This window comes from Homo sapiens, chromosome 1, assembly GCF_000001405.40.
Source record: "Homo sapiens chromosome 1, GRCh38.p14 Primary Assembly".
In the NCBI taxonomy this organism is placed as follows: Eukaryota; Metazoa; Chordata; class Mammalia; order Primates; family Hominidae; genus Homo; species Homo sapiens.
The window spans coordinates 230947583-230966358 of record NC_000001.11 but is presented as its reverse complement, the minus strand read 5'-3'; the positions used below and the strand labels follow the sequence as shown (position 1 = coordinate 230966358).

Here is an 18776-nt window from a genome sequence, read left to right as displayed (position 1 = left end):
ACAAATCATAGAGAGATTTTTTTGTTTTGGAACTTAAAAAACTGACTGAAGTTTATCTGAAGAAAGAATGTTTATACAAATAGCCAAGAAAGTTTTGGAATAAAATTGATAATGGCTTTGTTTTATATTAAAATGTATGTATTGTGAATCAAAATATCACCCTCTACCCCATATGTACAATTATTCTGTATCAATTTAAAATAATAAAAACCAAAAAACATTTATTTATTGTGAAGCTACAATAATTGAAACAATGTGATACTGAAATCAAAACAAACAGATCATTATAAGGGATTAGAAAGTGTGGAAACAAAAGTTTCTTATAGAAAACTAAAAATTTATTTTAAAAATATTAAATGAAAAGTGATATATAATCCTACCAAGTTTAAGTAATTAGGAGAAAATTTAAGTCAGGTGCAGTGATTCATGCCTGTAATCCCAGTACTTTGGGAGGTTGAGGCGAGAGGATTGCTTGAGCCCAGGTGTTCGAGACCATTCTGGGCAACACAGTGGGACCCTGTCTCCACAAAAAATAAAAATGAAAAATTAGCCAGGTGTGGTGGTGCATGCCTGTGTTCCCAGCTACTAGGGATGCTGAGGTCAATGCTGCAGTTAGCCGAGATCGTGCCACTGCACTCTAGTCTGGGTGTCAGAGTGAGCTATTGTAAACACTGCTGCAGCAAATATTGGATTGCAGATATCTCTTCCATATACTGATTTCCTGTCTTTTGGGTATGTACCCAGCAGTGGGATTGCTGGATCATATGGTAGCTCAATTTTTAGTTTTTTGAGGAACCTCCAAACTGTTCTCTATCGTGGTTCTGCTAATTTACATTCCCACTGCAGTGTACAAGTGTTCCCCTTTCTCCATATCCTCACCAGCATTTGTTATTATCTGTCTTTTGCATATACACCATTTTAACTGGGGTGAGATGATATCTCATTGTAGTTTTGATTTGCACTTTTTGATGATCAATGATGTTGACCACCTTTTCATATGCCTGTTGGCCTTTTGTATGTCTTAAGAAATGTCTATTCAAATCTTTCCCCATTTTTTGGTTGGATTATTAGATTTTTTCCAATACAGTTGTTTGTGCTCCTTATATATTCTGGTTACTAATCGCTTGTCAGAGGGGTAGTTTGCAAATATTTTATCTGATTCTGTGGGTTGTCTCTTCACTTTGTTGCTTGTATCTTTTGCTGTGGGGAAGCTTTTCAACTTGACATGATCCCATTTGTCCTTGTTTGCTTTGGTTGCCTGTGTTTGTGGGTGTTACTCAAGAGATCTTTGCCCAGATGAATATCATGGAGAGCTTCCCCAACGTTTTCTTGTAGTAGTTTCATAGTTTGAGTTCTTGGATTTAAGTCTTTAATCCATTTAGATTTCATTTTGTATATGGTGAGGGATAGGAGTCTAGTTTCATTCTTTTGCATATGGATATTCAGTTTTCCCAGCACCATTTATTGAAAAGACTGCCTTCCCCAGTGTGTATTCTTGGCACCTTTGTCAAAAATGAGTTCACTGTAGGCGTGTAGATTTGTTTCTGGGTTCTCTATTTTGTTCCATTAGTCTGTGTGTCTGTTTTTATGCCAGTACCATGCTGTTTTGGTTACTATAGCTGGATTTAAATAATCTTAAAGATTTCCTTTAAAAGCAAGTATAGAAACAGATCCTAATGTCTATAATGTATTATAAAGGTGGCATTCAAATTGATAATTTAACAAGTGGTGCTGGGACAACTGGCTAACCATTTGGAAAATAGATAATTAGGAATTTTTTTCAATATCTTTTGCAAGGATAGGTTTAGATGACTTAAAAATGAGCAAAGGATATAAGTGATTTACAAAAGTGGAGATACAAATGGCCAATAAACCAAAAGTTTAACTTTATTAGTGGTATGTTCAGATTGGGAAAGATTAAAAAGAATGTCAGTACTCTGGAGGGAAATGGACCTTCTCAAACTTCTAGTAGGAATGAAATTGTTATTATATGCTAGGAAGGAAATTGGGGCAATATATATGAAAAATATTAAACTTGTGCACACCCTTTGACTTGGCAATTTTATTTGTTGGAATCTATTGTAAGTGGGTACATTTTCAAAAATATAGGTCAAGAATACTTACTGAAATACTGTTCGTATTAAGAAAAAAGTAGGGACATCCTAAGTATCCAGTGATAAAAGTATGGTTAAGTGCAGCCTTTTAAAATTATGTAGGTGTATATTTATTGAAACTGAAATGGATTCCACAAAGGAGAGGGATTGTTAGAATAAGGCCAGGTATACACATTGCTTAGCACAGTGCCTGGCATATAGTAAGTTCTCAAATCTTAGCTTAGAAAAGGCAGGAGAAACAGGTTATAAATGTGTATGTTTCCAAAATATCTTTCATTGAGTCATTATTCTCCAACCATCTGCCAGGAACCATTACTATCTTCATTTTTGTGGGACTAAAGCCTTTCGTTGGGGTTCAGATCAGACTTTCTGCAGTCTGACTCCTCACCTTCCAAACTCATACTTTTTCTTTTCCAACACAAACTCCCTGCTCTAGCCAGGGAGTAGGAGTCTCCTCGCTGCCCTTTGCATTTCCTTGCCTTTGTACCTTTGCGTGTACCACTCATCGTCCTATCCGGAATACCCCTTCCCTTTCTCTGCCCCAGTCTAAATCCATCCATTCTTTTTTCTTTTATTTATTTATTTATTTATTTATTTATTTATTTATTTTGAGACAGGGTCTTACTCTGTCATCCAGACTGGAGTGCAGTGGTATGATCATGGTTCACTGCAGCTTCCACCTCCTGGACTCAGGTGATCTTCCCACCTTAGCCTCTGGGTAGCTGGGACTACAGGCATGTACTACCACACCCAGCTAATTTTTTCTTTTGTAGAGATGGTGTTTTGCCACGATGCCCAGGTTGGTCTCAAACTCCTGGGCTCAAGGGATTGGCCTGCCTCAGCCTCCCAAAGTCCTGGGATTGCAGGTGTGAGTCACCGCACCCAGCCTCCATCCATTCTTTTAAACCCTGCTTATGCCTTGTGAAATTTAACATTGCAGCTTCAGTAATGGTTCACCACCCCAGGGCTTCTTCACCATATCATGTCTTGTTTCTTATTGTTAAGATATACAACACGTGAGAATTTAGCTAAATTATATGTTCTTTGAGGACACAGACTGATTTTGATATTATAATTTATTCTCTCCCTCAGATGGTTCCTTGAACATAATTTAATGCTCTTTAATGACTGCTGAATTAGAACATATCTTTTTTTGCAATAATCTATCAAGGTGAAATGTTTTAATATAAAATTAACCATTTTAGAGCAAACAGTTCAGTGGCATTCACCATGTGCAACCACCCCAAGTTGTTTTCAACACTCCAAAATAAAACCCCTTACTCATTAAGCAGTTTCTCCCTAGTCCCTCCTTCCCCTATCCCCGGCAATCACCAATCTGCATTTTGTCTCTATGGATTCACCTATTCTGGACATTTCATATAGATGGAGTCATATGATAAGTGACCCTTTGTGTCTGGCTTCTTCCATTTAGCATAATGTTTTGGAAGTTCTTCCACGTTGCAGTGTGTATCAGTAGTTCATTTTTTTATGGTCGAATAGTATTCTACTCTGTATACACCAAAATTTGTTTATTCATTCATCTGTTGATGGACACTTGGACCATTTCTCCCTTTTGGCTACTGTGATTAGCGCTACTATGAACATGTATATACAATACTTGTTTGAGTCCCTTTTCAATTTTGGGGGTATATACCTAGGAGAAGAATTGCTGCATCATATGGAAATTCTGATTCGCTTTTTAAGGAACTATTTTCCATAACTGGTGTACCATTTTACACTCCCACCAGCAATGCACAAGGGTTCCAATTTTTCTACATTCTTGCTACTGCTTGTTGTTTTCTGCTTTTTGGTTATAGCCATCCTAGTGTGTGTGTGTGAAGAGGTACCTTATTGTGGTTTGATTTACATTTCCCTAAGTAGTAATTAGTAATGATGTTGAGCAACTTTTCATGTGCTCAATGCCTATACAGGTCCTTTGCCTGTTTTTAAAATTGTGTTGTTTTAGTTGGGTTGTAAGAGCTATTTATATATTTTGCATACTGGACTCATAGTGTGTATCATTTTTTTTTTTTTGAGTCAGAGTTTTGCTCTTGTTGCCCAGGCTGGAGTGCAATGGCACAGTCTCGGCTCACGGCAACCTCTGCCTCCCGGGTTCAAGCGATTCTCCTGCCTCAGCCTCCCAAGTAGCTGGGATTACAGGCACCTGCCACCACGCCTGGCTAATTTTTGTATTTTAGTAGACACAGGGTTTTGCCATGTTGGCCAGGCTGGTCTCGAACTCGTGACCTTAGGTGATCCGCCCACCTTGACCTCCCAAAGTGCTGGGATTACAGGTGTGAGCCACCACGCCTGGCCTAGGGTGTATCTTTTAACATTTAAGTCTCACTGGTTTGGCTTATTCTCCTTTTGTGATTTTTTTTAATCTATGGTAAATGCTGCCCCATAGATTGTTCGACTGAAGGATCTCAACAACAATATTAGTTCCACATGTGTCCTGAGACAAGCATTGTACTAGTACTCTTTCTACCCTGTTGCCTTTAGATAAGTTACAACCTATTTAAACCTCATTTAACCATCCAGGAAGCTCACTGGCTTTGCTCATTTGAGAATGGTGGTGAGGAACATCACTAATGGTTGTGCAAGATACTTGCAAACCGTAAAACATTACCCTATTATAAAGGTAGGATACAGGTTGCTACTTCTATTTTTTGTTTTCTAGAGACAGGGTCTCACTGTTTGAGACCCAGCCTGGTTGGTTTGCTGTTGCCCAGGCTGGTCTTGAACTCCTTGCCTCAAGCGAGCCTCCTGAGTTGCTGGGATTACAGGTGTGAGGCACTGTGCCCAGCTGGTTGCCACTTTTAGTGTTATTCACACCTGTTCTTATTTTGGTTCTGTGGAGTCTAAAAATTCTAATTCATAGTTAAGCACCTAAGAGCATAAATTAAGGTGTAGAGAATAACAAAGAATGCTTGCCTTTCAGAGTCATCCTTTTTGAACTTCCATGACTCAGACTGCGAACCCAAGGGATCATCACCCTGTGACTCCTTGCTTTCCCTCAACACTGAGAAGATTCTGGTATGCATCTTCTCTCTGTGTTCTGTTTTTGTAACCTGAAGCCCAGTGATACTAGTTCCAAAAAGTGGAAGTCGCCTCTGTCAACTAGAAGTTGGGCCTCGTTGAGTCTACATGCATAGGATAAAGATAGGTCGTCTGGTATTTTGCCACATTGAATTATGACTTATGAATTGGATGGTTGATTATTCTGGACATAGAACTTTTAATTTGCAAGTGTCAAGAAATAAAGGGACATTATAGTTAAACCTTATTTCTAGCAGCCTTGTGTATTTGTAGGTATAGTAGACTCTTATTTTTCCAACCTTTGCATATGTGGGTATCTTTTGTATCTATGTTTTCTATCAGTACCAACTAAACTATACCGTGGACCTCTCCATTTCAGGGGTGAATACTTGACAGTAGCTAATGTTTGCGTCTGCCTATCCATGTTAGTGCATCTCCTCCTCCAGCCTGGCTGCCTCAAGAGGGATGGGTCTTCTTTTTGTTCACACTTAACTCTATGAAGCTGATTGTTCTTTCCGTGTCCAAGTTTAATGTATTTTTTCTCCAGGCCTTTTCCTTCAACATCTGCATAGATACTCTTTGCATCTTCGGTTTAAAATTTCCTTTTAAGATACTCTTTTTTTTTTTTTTCAAACAAAGCCTTGCCTTTTCATGTGAGAACTACTGAAGATGGATTGAAACTGCAAACTAGAGAATGATCGTCTGCTTTTACCTAACTCGCTGCATAGTAATCAACTTGATATATGGAAAACTCTCGAATTAGACTTGCCCAAAATCAGAAGGGGCTGTCTTGTAAAGCAGTGAGTTGGTCATCTCTGAAAGTGTTTAAGTAGAAGTTGGATAATCCCATCTTGTATAGGCAGTTAGATTCTTAGAGTTATGAAAGTCTTCTTACTGAGAGTAGTTAAAATATGTTCTACTAGTTGCATTTCCAGTTTAAGCTAGTGCTAGCTAGTGACCTATGGGAGAAAGCTCGTTAGTCTTGGCCTTTCCTCTTCCCAAGGTTGAAATATGGGACTTAGACTATTCATTTATTGATCCATTCTCCAGATATTTATTTGGCACCTATTACATGCCAGGCATTGCACTAGGTGATTATTAGGAATACAGCAATAAGCCAGATAGTGTTGGTCTCTGCATTATGTACCAGGCATTGTACTAGGTGAGTGTTAGGAATACAGCAGCAAGCCAGATAGCGTTGGTCTCTGCACCATGACTTTTATACTCATCAACCAAATCATTATGCAAATAAACATAAAAGTGTGATTGTACACATCATATGAAGGAATAGCAAAGGGTCAACATAAACTCCCTTTATTTAGGGGTATCAGGCAATACAGCTTTCAGGAACTGAAGTGTAAGCAGGGATGAGAAAGTTGGATTGAAATTAGTCTACTAGTGATGTTGAGCTGTGTGTTCAAACTTACTTGAGCATAGCTTCTCAACTCTGTCCAGAGGAGATACTATAGATGCAGTATTAGAAATAGGAAAGGGTCTTTTTCATCAAGAATTTGATTTGTTGTTTGGCTGGGTGCAGTGGCTCACGCCTGTAATCCCAGCACTTTGGGAGGCCAAGGCGGGTGGATCACCTGAGGTCAGGAGTTCAAGACCAGCCTCACCAACATGGAGAAACCCCGTCTCTACTAAAAAATACAAAATTAGCAGGGGTGGTGGCGCATGCCTGTAATCCCAGCTACTTGGGAGGCTGAGGCAGGAGAATCGCTTGAACCCAGGCGGCGGAGGTTGTGGTGAGCCGAGATCGTGCCATTGCACTCAAGCCTGGGCAAAAAGAGAGAAACTTTGTCTCAAAAAAAAAAAAAGAATTTGATTTGTTTGTACTGTACTTCTCCTGCCCACTTTCTAGTGAATACAAACAACTTAAAATCAGATATATTCTTCAGTGTACTCTTGAGGTTGCTTAGTAAATGATTTCTTCTTTTTGTAGAATTTCATTTCTGTCCTCGTCCCTATATCTTTTTGCAGAAAGGCTTGGCAAATGGTAGACTCTCCTCAAATATGAAATAAAGCAATATTTACAGACTCTTTTTCTTGCCTCTAAGCAATTTACTTGCTTTTTTTCCCAGCTTCACTGAGGTGTAATTGACAAATAAAAATTATATATTTACAATGTACAATGTGATTTTATATACATATATGTTGTGAAATGGTTGCCACAATCAAGCCATCTAAGCAATTATTTATTTATTTTTGAGACAGAGTCTCACTGTTTTGCCCAGGCTGGGGGTACAGTGGCACAATCAGGGCTCCCTGCAGCCTCGACCTCCCGGGCTCAAGCCATCCTCCTGCCTCAGCCCCAACCAAGTAGCTGGGGCTATCAGTGTACATCACCATGTCCAGCTAATTTTTTTGAACTTTAGTAGAGATGAAGTCTCACTGTGTTGCCTAGGCTGATCTCGAAATTCCGGAGCTCAAGTGATCTTCCTACCTTGGTCTCCCAAAGTGCTGGAATTAAAGGCGTGAGCCACCATGCCCCGTCTATCTAAGCAATTTATTAAGGAGAAAAATCTTTTGCATCTGTGAACTTGTCTGTAAACATTTGACAAAGAGGAAGGGCTCATGTTCTGGTCACACCCAGCTGTATATCATCAGTAACACCCTTACGCATTGTTAAATCTGCCACATCTTGAAGCTTTACCAGGTTCCAGGTGTGGAAGCTCCCAGCTGCATAGCAAAACTAGAAGGAGCTGATAAGAGTTTCCCTCTCGTCATCAAGGTTCTACTGAAAGCCATAAAGTGTAAAACATTCCCACAATAGTGGCATTTTCTTGCTTCCACTTAAATCAAATGTAGCCTTAATTTTAATTTTTTAAAATACAGATTTTAATACAAGTTTTCTTTCATTTGTGATAGCTAAAATGTATGGGTTTTTTTTTTTTTTTTCCCAGAGCCAGGCCAAGTCTATTGCAGAACAGAAGAGATTCCCGTTTGCCACTGATAATGACAGCACAAATGAAGAGTTAGGTAAGACTTGAATCTGGTAATATTCCTGTAATATTTGCCTCAAAGTTTTGGTTAGATGCATAGCAGGAAGACAGGATGGTAAGGAGTAGAGAGACTGGCTTTGCCAATTTGAGCTGTTTGATCTTGCATGGAGCATTCAGCCCTTGTGACATTCCATTTATTATATGTCAAGAGAAAAAAAAAAGGTTTGGATGGAATAATCTTTTCCAGCTCTCCATTTCTATGGAAATTAATAATTATGGTAATGAGCTCTTATGAGCTGTTTCGATTCAGTAAAAGGTTATTTGTGTGCTGTCATCAGATGTGAGCAATGAAGAAGTGAAAGCAGACTACCTACTTTTCTGTATAGTGAAATAGCTATGTTTAAGTTATTTTAACTTAAACTTTAAGTTATTTTACTCATGAGGCTAGTGAGTTATTTTTGGGCCTAAGAATGTGGGTGTAGAAAAATTGAATTCATTCGTACCTGCACGAGTCACATAGTTTGGTGTGTTCATTGCATGTTTTAAAACAGGCTGGTTTTGTCAGTGTCAGATATGCACTGGGTGTGTTTCCCTCGCTGTCTAGTGAGTTTACATTTGAAGAAGTGGAGACAAAATTGAATACAGGGCTGAGCAGTGCAACTGGGCAAACTATTGAAGCACATGTTTTCGCATGGGGCCCAGTCACCAAAGCACCTGCAGGAATTCTTCTCTATCTAATTTATGCATAATTATTTTATCCTTACCATGGTCATACACGTTTGATATTAAGACTAAGTGCTCCTTATATTGGCTTCTTTCCTGTTAGTGCAGGGTCTTGCTCTGTGGCCCAGGCTGGAGTGCAGTGGCACAATCATAGCTCACTACAGCCTTAAACTAGGCTCGAATGATCTTCTTCCCTAGGACTCCTGAGTAGGTAGGATTACAGGTGCACACCACCGTGCCTGGCTAATTTTTTAAAATTGTTTTGTAGAGACCAGTACTCACCATGTTGCCCAGGCTGGTATCAAACTCTTGGGCTCTAGGAATCCTCCTGCCTTGGCCTCCCAGGGTGCTATTTTGAAAATGCTAATTACTTTATGGTGATATTCTTTGAGGAGGCTTTGAGGACTGCCCTTTAAGGCATCAGATCTGGTCTTTTCTGAAGTCCTTGGATTCTACTTAGAGTAGTATTTATTTATTGAATAATGAGTTCAGAGCCTGATATGCCAGGTCTGTTTTGTTCTCCAAGAATAATCCTAGTAGACCCTGGGGTAGTGTAGGCCCTGAGCTGGCCTATGATCTTTTGTATCCAGTATTTTTTCTTGAAAAAAATGACATCTGTGAACATATACATTGCTCGGAGATGTGGGGTTGCTGGTGAGTAGAGATTTCTGAGAGAAGTCCAGTTATACCAGCTTTTCCTTTAAGTCTTTAGACTCCTACAACAAAATTTAGATCCTAATATTTGTATTTGCACAAGATTTGGGTTATGATTATTCTTTTATGAATGGATACTTCTGCGTTTTTTTCACAAAATGTTGAGCTTTAGGTGGAGGGATTTGAAAACTGCATTTGATTTTAAGTGGAATTCAATCACTTAGATGTGGACAGCCATCTAAATATGTTCCTAAAGTACAAAATTTATCTCTAAAAATCATATTTGTTTTTATGGCTCATTGATTGATTTGTTCATTCAACAGATATTTACTGATTATGGGATAATAAATAGGAAATAAAAATTTAGATTTGAAAGGAAACTTTAAGAAAATTTTCTACAGGCTTATTAAGCAAGACCAGACAGTTATGAGAAGTGACTGAGGTCCCCACGATCACACGGCTGGTGAGTGGCAGAGCCAGAATCCGAGCTCACATCTTGGCTTTCTGATCAAATCGTCATCTTCCTGCATTCAAAAAAGTACAAGTTTATGTTTTTATCCATGTTCATCTGACCATTAAGGAATTTCAGCCCCTTGGCCATCCCTCCAGTGCACAGTGGTTTGGGAACTGACTTGAATTTTCTCAGCGTACCGGGCTGCCTGGGAGGTTAGGCTCTGGAGCCAGGCAGCTTGCTGCCTTCCTCTCACTCACTGCTTATGGTCCTTGGACAGCTAGTTTAACCACTTTCTACTTTATTTCCTTGTCTGCAAAATGGGGTTAATAATTGTACCTACCTCATTGCAGTGGAGGAGCAAATGAGTTAATACTGGTAAAGGATATTACTGTGCCTGGCACATATTAAGAATGCAATGCCTGTAGCCACTGTGATTCTTGCTGCTGTTTTTACTACTAATATTACTGCCTCCACCACCCCCACCAAAACTAAAGGTATCCTCTCGTTACCTGGAGGTTAGCTAACTGAACGGTATCTATTGTCAGCATTCTGAGCATGAATTTGGGCTTAATTTATCTTTCCAAAGAAAGTAGGGCAAAAGGGCTCTCTTTTTATTTTGAAGAATGCCCCCAGAAGTGCTTATATTATTATGGTGTTCAATTTGAACTTTATTTTATTGATTTATGAATGTATTTTAAACTCTTCCTGCATTTCGTTTCTGTTTCTGCTTTAATTTTTTACTCCTTTTTTTTTTTTTTTGAGATGGAGTCTCTCTCTGTCGCCCAGGCTGGAGTGCAGTGGCGCCATCTCGGCTCACTGCAAGCTCCGCCTCCTGGGTTCATGCCATTCTCCTGCCTCAGCCTCCTGAGTAGCTGGGACTACAGGCACCCGCCACCACGCCCAGCTAATTTTTTTTTTTTTTGTATATTTAGTAGAGACGGGGTTTCACCGTGTTAGCCAGGATGGTCTCGATCTCCTGACCTTGTGATCTGCCTGCCTCAGCCTCCCAAAGTGCTGGGATTACAGGTGTAAGCCACCACGCCTGGCCTATTTTTACTGCTTTTAACTGTCAGAAAGTATAAGCTCTTAATGACAGTAAAAGTTTTCATTGCCTATCTTCTTGAACACCTGTTAGGTCCTAAAGGATATTGCAGTAAAGCTTTACAGAAGAGCTTTTTTGCAAATAAATGTTATCAAAATAGTGATGTTGAGTGAGGAATAAAATGTTTTTCAGGGATTTTGGCGGGGCTAAGGGTCAAGCAGTCAGGGCAAATTTTATAGATGGCAATGTAATCTAGCATATTCAAACACTGGTTTTTGGATGGGTGGGAGAATTTAGTCAGAATATTGCTGTGTTTTCAGAGATTGTCCTGGCTCTAATTTCAAAATACCACTTTCCTAAACAACGTGATACAAAGTGGTTCATCTTTAGTGTATATTTTGAGTAGCGTTTTGACTATATTTTGAATGGAAGAAGTAGGAAAAAGACTGTCATTGCGTTATAGTGGTTTGTATTATCCACAGTTAAGCATTATGTTAATACATTTGAGTCCCTGTTTTTGTTCTTATTAGGTAATTGGCAGTAAATTCAGCACTCCCAGGAATTGAGATTTGTGATGCTATTTGGGTATTTCTCATAACATTCACAGTAAAAAATCACATTGCCATGTTATGTGGACATTATTTAGGCTTATTACTAGCTTTTGTGATAGCTAGGAGACATCACAAAGATTATTTGGGATTTGAAAATGAATGATGGCCTTAGAAAAAGATCAGTATCTCTTGTAGGCAGATATTTTATAGATGACTTTAACAATTTAAATCTAGATGGAACTGGAAGGCTGATTAGCAAGTGTGGAGTGGTGAAAGTAGAAGAATTCAGTGACACCTTATTAACTTCTAGGTTTTCTTTAACTGCTTCCAGTGCTTGGAGCTGCCTTTGGAGATTTACCAAAGCATTTAGTTATTGATTCTAGTTAGAACTACTTTATTCTTTCCTTTAATATTTTTGTATTTTGTTTCATAGCTATTGCTTATGTCTTGATTGGCAGTGGTCTGTATGATGAAGCAATACGGCATTTTTCAACAATGCTTCAGGTAAATTTTCTTCTTATTTATGTAATTTTGAGTTTATGGTCATGACAAAAATATGGACTAATGAACAGCTGAAGTGCTGTAATACGACATGTTTTTAAATTATACAAGAAAGTGAAAGAAATTGGTATGGACTGAGCACTTTCTTGCTGCCAGGCCTTGTGACATGCTTTCATTTAATCTTTTAAATGAAAGATTTTAAAGAAAACTTCATTTTAAATGAGAAAAGGGAATCTAATCAGGTCAAGCAATTTACTCATAGTCTCCCGACCATCAAATTGCAGAGATGGGATTCAAATGCAAGCTTTAAAAAAACATTAGCTTCAGTTCACTTTCCTCTCTACCACAATATCTCCCATGAGATACAGACACTGGAAATTCTTGAAATTCCAGCTTAATTTCACACAGGAGTTGATCTTCATGATTAACTTAATTTCTACTCATAGGTATGTTTCTCACCTTAAAGTATAATTATGAGACTCCTCAGTGAAGTATTGGGTCTTTACTGATTGGTGGCTGCACTAAAGTCTAGTTAAGATAAAGCATTTAAGCACTGCATGTATAAGAGTTGCAAAGAAGGCTGGTAGCTGCCCAGCATCATTGGCCTTGTATCTTGTATCATTATTCAACTGTATGCACTGTTGGTGCCTAACCATTTATTGATTGTTGATGTGTCTTTCCAGTGAAGAAGACATGGATTTTAGAGCTAGAGATGCCTTAATTCTAATCCACTTTGCTTCTTGCTACCAAGTTATTTAAACTCCTGAGTTATGGAGATAATAATAACTACCTCCAAAAAAATTCTTTTTTGGTTTAAATGAAATGTCCTATTAAAGTACTTAGTACCCAGTGCCTGGCACATAGTAAGTGCTTAGTAAATTTTGGCTAGTCAAAGTACCATTCTGGTATATTCATCTGTGTTAACCGTAGCAAGTGCCAACAAATGCCTTCCAGTCTAGCAGGCAGACTTAATTTAAATGATTCATTTTGGAATTTTAGCTCTGCTTTTGTTTTCTCTTTAAAAATAAGGTTAATTATACTGATAATATCTTCATTCTCAAACAATTGATGAGATATTTTTAGTTATTACTTTGAGGTCTTTGGATCCAAGGAGTGGTATATTTGGGTGGTCATGTGGAACACTATTCTTCAGTAGAATTTAAAGTACAAAGGGTAGATTATAAATAGTTTAAAAAACCACCTTTCTGTTAAGTATTGGCAATGTTATAAAAGGTAAGCAAACACTTTTACACAGTTAACACCTGACCCTGGTTTGAAAGGGAGGTTTTGATACGTTTATAGGAGCAAATATCAGTTAATTTAAGGCAACCAGGCTGGAGTGTAGAATCCAGCAGAAAATAGGAATTTGCAGATGTATTATTTTATTCAACTTTTTGAAAATGTTATTACCATTGTGGTTGAAGACAATATAATACTCTTAAAGAAAATATTTTAAATAATAAAAAATTTCCGAATTCTGCCACTTTAACATTGTTTAAATTTTTTATTTATGCCTTTTCAAAGTATGCATTTGTTTTATAATCTGAATATATGTACTGTTTTGTATTACTTTTTCACTTAATTCTATGCTGTAAATGTTTATCAGTATTTTTCTACAATCTTATTTTTAATGGCTCTATAATATGCCTTTGTTTTGTCCATTTATAGTTGTAAGACATTTCTCTTGCAATTGTGTTCAGAAAGTATATTAGCATTTTTCTTTTTGTGCAAAGAAGATAATGTATTGAAATGTGATATCGTATTTTCATCAATCTCTGATACAATGGGTTGCTTTCAGCTGGGAAATCTGTCTTTGAGAATGTGTGGATTATAAGATTGGACTGCTTTGCTCGCAGTTCAGACTATTGATGGGGCAGGGATGAAGGCAGTGGAAAGTTCAGATGCAGAAGAATGAACTGGGTGGTCATTTGTAACATATTTTTATTAGCAGCAAGAATGCCCTTGGCTTTCCTGCTGGTGCTTTCCTCAGTGATTTCTCTCTCCTTACCCTTTATCTCAGTGCTTCCCAGCTCTTTCCACATCATGGCAGATGTGGAAATAATATCTGCATGGCACATGGGTAAACAAGAATAATTTGGAGGCATCCAGATAAAGCTTTGTGAAAATCTGTCACATTTTCTTTGTATCATATGACTGATAAGGAATAGAAAATTCGAAGATTCTATACTCCAGCTAGAGAGCAAGAACCTGTCTCTGAAAAAAAGAAAGAAAATACGAAGATTCGATGTTAAATGCTAAAATTGTTTTCAAAAGTTCTAATAAGAAACTTGATCCTACTTTTCTGGACAAAACTTTTCTATATTAGAGTTTATGTTTGAAATTGATGCACGCAGTCTCTGTTTGAGTTTTCTGTTGATTTCATCAAATTCTCGATAGCCAGTGTCATCGAGACACTGTAAAAGTAGGTGATAGCAAATGTCCAAAGAATAGTTATTGCTTCTTCTCCAATTGACTGAAAATCCTTTTTTCATCACAAATCATAATTTGCATAAATTATTCTCTTTAAATTATGTATCACACACATGATTATTCTCTAAATCTAATTACTCTTTTCTTTTTTGTTTGTTTTTTTCTTTTGTTGGCAAGTGTAGTGATAAAATTTCTTGCAGTATGAAATACATTTTTATCTCAATAATACTTTTTCATATCCAGTATTTCAGCATAGTGATGAAGCTTTTCTTCAAGCCTACACAGATGTTGCTCTACTACTTTTCATTCTTCACGTTGCACCTGAGCTAAATATCACTTGAGAACCATTTTTCTCTGTATATGCTAATAAGTTTTTACCTGTTCCTTGCAGGACCTTCTAGATATGCAAAAATGCAGTATTTTTAAGCCAGTAAATGTCCTTTGACAAATCTACAAAGTGGTAGCTATTCATGTACAGAATTTTTGGTTTTCTTGAGTTCATTAACTCTTGGCAATCTTTTTTTTTTTTTTAGACAGCTCATGAGCTCCAGTATGAAGCAGCAGAGCATGGAATATTATTCTGTTTATAGAAGCAGGCAACAAATGGGGACTCAGGGGCTTGGATTTTATTAGAATCACTGTTTTGATAAGCTCATTTAATATGATTTTCAAATCTACATATAAAGGGTATTTTAACTCCAGAATGACTTTTTGATATAAAGCTCTTATACCTTTCCTGTTGTCTTGGTTTCACCATCAGGTTACAAACCTGGGAAATATTTCCATAATCCTCGGTGTTTCAAAGTGTTTATTGGAATGTTTATTCCCTGTGGTTTGATTTTCCTTTACAGAAGTATCAAGGTTTCTAACTGAGCACAATGACAGGGTTTAATAGATGTTGGTCTGCATTGGAAACTCTTGATTTTTAAAGCTTATAAGTTAGTGTTGCTTCTATGCCAATGCCCTGAAGTCATTTCCATGTGTGTCAGTGCATCAGTAATAGTGTTCTTGAGTTGAAAAGTAGAACTTTTTCCTGATTTCTGTGCTGCTTTGGTCCTCATGCAGGGATGGGTTTAACATAAATGCTTCAACAATTTTATGAGATAATTTGGCCTTTGCTATTTATTATGTGACCTTGAGCTCATCTGATTTTGATCTGATTCCAGTGGAACTGAACTTGTAAAAGAATATTACTTCCTATTTTACATTAGCATACAAAATTGGAAACATTCCTCTGCATAGAATTTTAAATAACATCCTTTATGTAAATATGTGTGTTCGTCACTTAGGTGAAATCTAATCCTCATTACATTGCTTATCTACTGACTGTTTCGACTTGTTTGTTTTTAGATCCAGTGACTTCCCAGTTTTAATAAAAAAGCCAGCCTTGTAGTGGTAAATACAGTAAATACTGTAAAATTTAAAGTCACTATATAAGTAATGAAATGAGGATAATATATTAGACTCTTTTTTTTTTGCGAATTGAGACATCTAAGTAGACACAACACCATTTAGGCAACTGTTATACCATGATTTTGCAGTTGCATAAAGTAAAATTGGAAGATTGAAGTATTCATTTTCATTTCAGTCTTTTTAAGAGTATAGAAACTTTTTAAAGAAACTTTTTAAAAAGTTTCTGAAAACTTTATAAAGTATAAATATTATAAAAATATTTTGAAAAATTGCTCTTCAGAGCCTAATTTGTTTTTAGGAATAAACGTTGGTTTTTATTTGGAAAAACCCAATAATTTACTATGGCATTCCATAAAGAAAAGTTTTTGGCTTTTAGCTAATGATAGATAAAATAATAAATAAAGTTGTATCAACTTTTAAAAGTAATAAAATCTGTTATTTAAATTTAGGAAGGCTTAATACTAGACTGTAGATATAACAGCCACAATAATTATATGTCCTTCTTGACTGTTAGGAAAAAATTCTAAAAAGAAAGAATAAATTGGGCCGGGCGTGGTGGCTCAGGCCTGTAATCCCAGCACTTTGGGAGGCCAAGGCGGGCGGATCACGAGGTCAGGAGATTGAGACTATCCTGGCTAACATGGTGAAACCCCGTCTCTACTAAAAATACAAAAACAAAATTAGCTGGGCATGGTGGCTGGCGCCTGTAGTCCCAGCTACTCAGGAGGCTGAGGCGGGAGAATGGCGTGAACCCTGGAGGTGGAACTTGCAGTGAGCCAAGATCGCGCCACTGCAGTCCAGCCTGGGCGACAGCGAGACTTCGTCTCAAAAATAAAAAATAAAAAAAAAAGGAAAGAATAAATTGAATAGAGAAAACCTAAATACTTTACAGATAAGCACAGTAATCAATTCAGTGCTGTAGTAATGATGAGACCATGGGGTGACTTGAGGGGAGGCCCGTGCGAGGGCCTCTGTGTGGGGCACACATCCAATCCTGCAGTCAAGATGATGATGGCTACCTTTAGGAAGTTGTCAGTGTTCGGATATTTCAGCTGTTGCAAATTTTTGAATGGCTGTTTTTTTTTTTTAATTTAAAATTTTTATTACTATAAAAATGTTCCAGCTGCAAGAGCTGGAGGGCCACCATACGTCATTCACTGTGGCACATCTGTCATAGAGCTTTGCCTTCCTGTTACCCTGGATCGGGCTCTTGTTTTCCATTGACCTGCACCCCACTATTATTAGCCATGTTGTCCTGCTTGCTTCCCTTTGGGAAGAATAGGCTTAGCAGAGCTGACTTTGATCTGATAGGCAAATCTTTGTCTTCTGTGTTGGTTTTTGCTTGCTATTCCTAGTATGTGGCAAGAATAGCATGACTTTGCATGGTATTCCTAGCACATGGAACCTGAGATAGCTAACAGTAGGCCCTGAGTAAATAATTGTGGAATGAATGGCTGACATCCATACAGTGAACAGTGGGAATAAAGGAGAAGGAGCATATTTATTTTCCAGGGGCGTCTGGAAGGAATCCAAAGGTGGTGTTTGAACTGAGACTTAAGGGATCAAAGGAATTTCTTGGGGACCGAGGCAATGGGTGAGTGTTTCAGACAGAGGGGATAGCATTTGCAAATGCACTGCATTTGGGAAAGCATCTTGTATGTAGGGAATTATTAAATGATTCTGATTTCTAGGGTATGAAGTGAAGCTGGGTGTGGTGGCTCACGCCTGTAACCCCAGCACTTTGGGAGGTTGAAGCAGGAGGATTGCTTGAACCCAGGAGCTTGAGACCAGCCTGGGCAATAAAGTGAGACCCCCATCTCAACAAAAAAATTTTAAAATTAGCCTGGTGTGATCGTGCACTCCTATAGCCTCAGGTACTTGAAAGGCTGAGGTGGGAGTTTGAGCCCAGGAGTTTGAGGCTGTAGTGAGCTAGGCTTGCACCACTGTACTCTAGCATGGGTGACAGAGTGAGACCCTGTCTTTATGAAAAGAAAAAAAAAAAAGAGGAAGGAGATGAGGCTGAACAGTAAGCAGGAAAATGATTAATATTTTCTGCAGAGCCATTTAGATGTTACCTTTTTTTTTTTTTTTTGTATTGTGAGTTGCTACCCTTTAGTGGGTCCTGAAATTAATTGGCAAGTCAAGATTAGCACTTTTTTTTTTAAGTGAAATATGCTGGACTAGAAAATATCAGATTCCATTGTGTATAGGAAGTCCTAGGTATAACCTACTGAAACTGTTTTCTGATACATGTGTGTATATATTGTGCACATGTGTATGTGTGTACTGGATTGTAATGTAAAATGTATTTCAGTGATTTGGAGTTTAAAAAGTTTGAATGTCACTGTATTAGGTGTTGGGGAGTCACTGAATAATTTCAGTTAGGGAAATGATATGATGAGACTTTAGTGTTAGAAAGATAACTCTTGGTGTATATCTGGAGAATAGATAGGAAGAAATGGGAACAGGTAAGGTGATCACAGTATCCTAGGTGAGAGAGGAAGGCTTAGAATAGGGCAGTGGCTGATGGAGTGGGTGGGAGGATGCTGATCTGTTCAGGAGGTGAGATGGCCAGGATTTGGTGAGGGGTGTGTGACCTGGAGAGCAGGAGGATGCCAGAGCACCAGCCCCGGCCACGGGTGTGCGGGGATGCCAGTTGTATTTGTAGAATAACTGCTTATTTACATCTTTTTCTGATTCACCTCTTGGTCATCTGGAGTAAACTTTTTTCTGTTAGGAGAAAAGCAGCTTGGATAATATATTTTGAACCATAACAAATCTGAGCATAGGTTTGGTTCTTCCTGGAGATGTATGTTATCCTAAAGCAAGCTTGTCCAACCCATGGGCCACATGCAGCCCAGGATGGCTTTGAATGTGGCTCAACACAGCTTTGTAAAGTTTCTTAAAACA

The 18776-nt window shown here is 38.0% G+C and overlaps 1 protein-coding gene across 15 annotated transcripts in view; it reads left to right on the top strand.

Annotated features, from left to right (window-relative positions):
* TTC13 (tetratricopeptide repeat domain 13) overlaps window positions 1-18776 on the top strand; it is a 72619-nt gene that overhangs the window by 12503 nt on the left and 41340 nt on the right. For 14 of the 15 annotated variants that reach the window (NM_001376514.1, NM_001376509.1, XM_006711814.3 and 11 more), the window contains exons 2-4: window positions 5056-5150; window positions 8060-8135; window positions 11956-12026. In NM_001376514.1, the coding sequence (NP_001363443.1) occupies window positions 5056-5150; window positions 8060-8135; window positions 11956-12026 (242 nt within the window). Of the gene's footprint in view, window positions 1-5055; window positions 5151-8058; window positions 8136-9876; window positions 9939-11955; window positions 12027-18776 lie in introns of those variants that run through there. The other variant, XM_047430313.1, reaches the window with a different exon arrangement.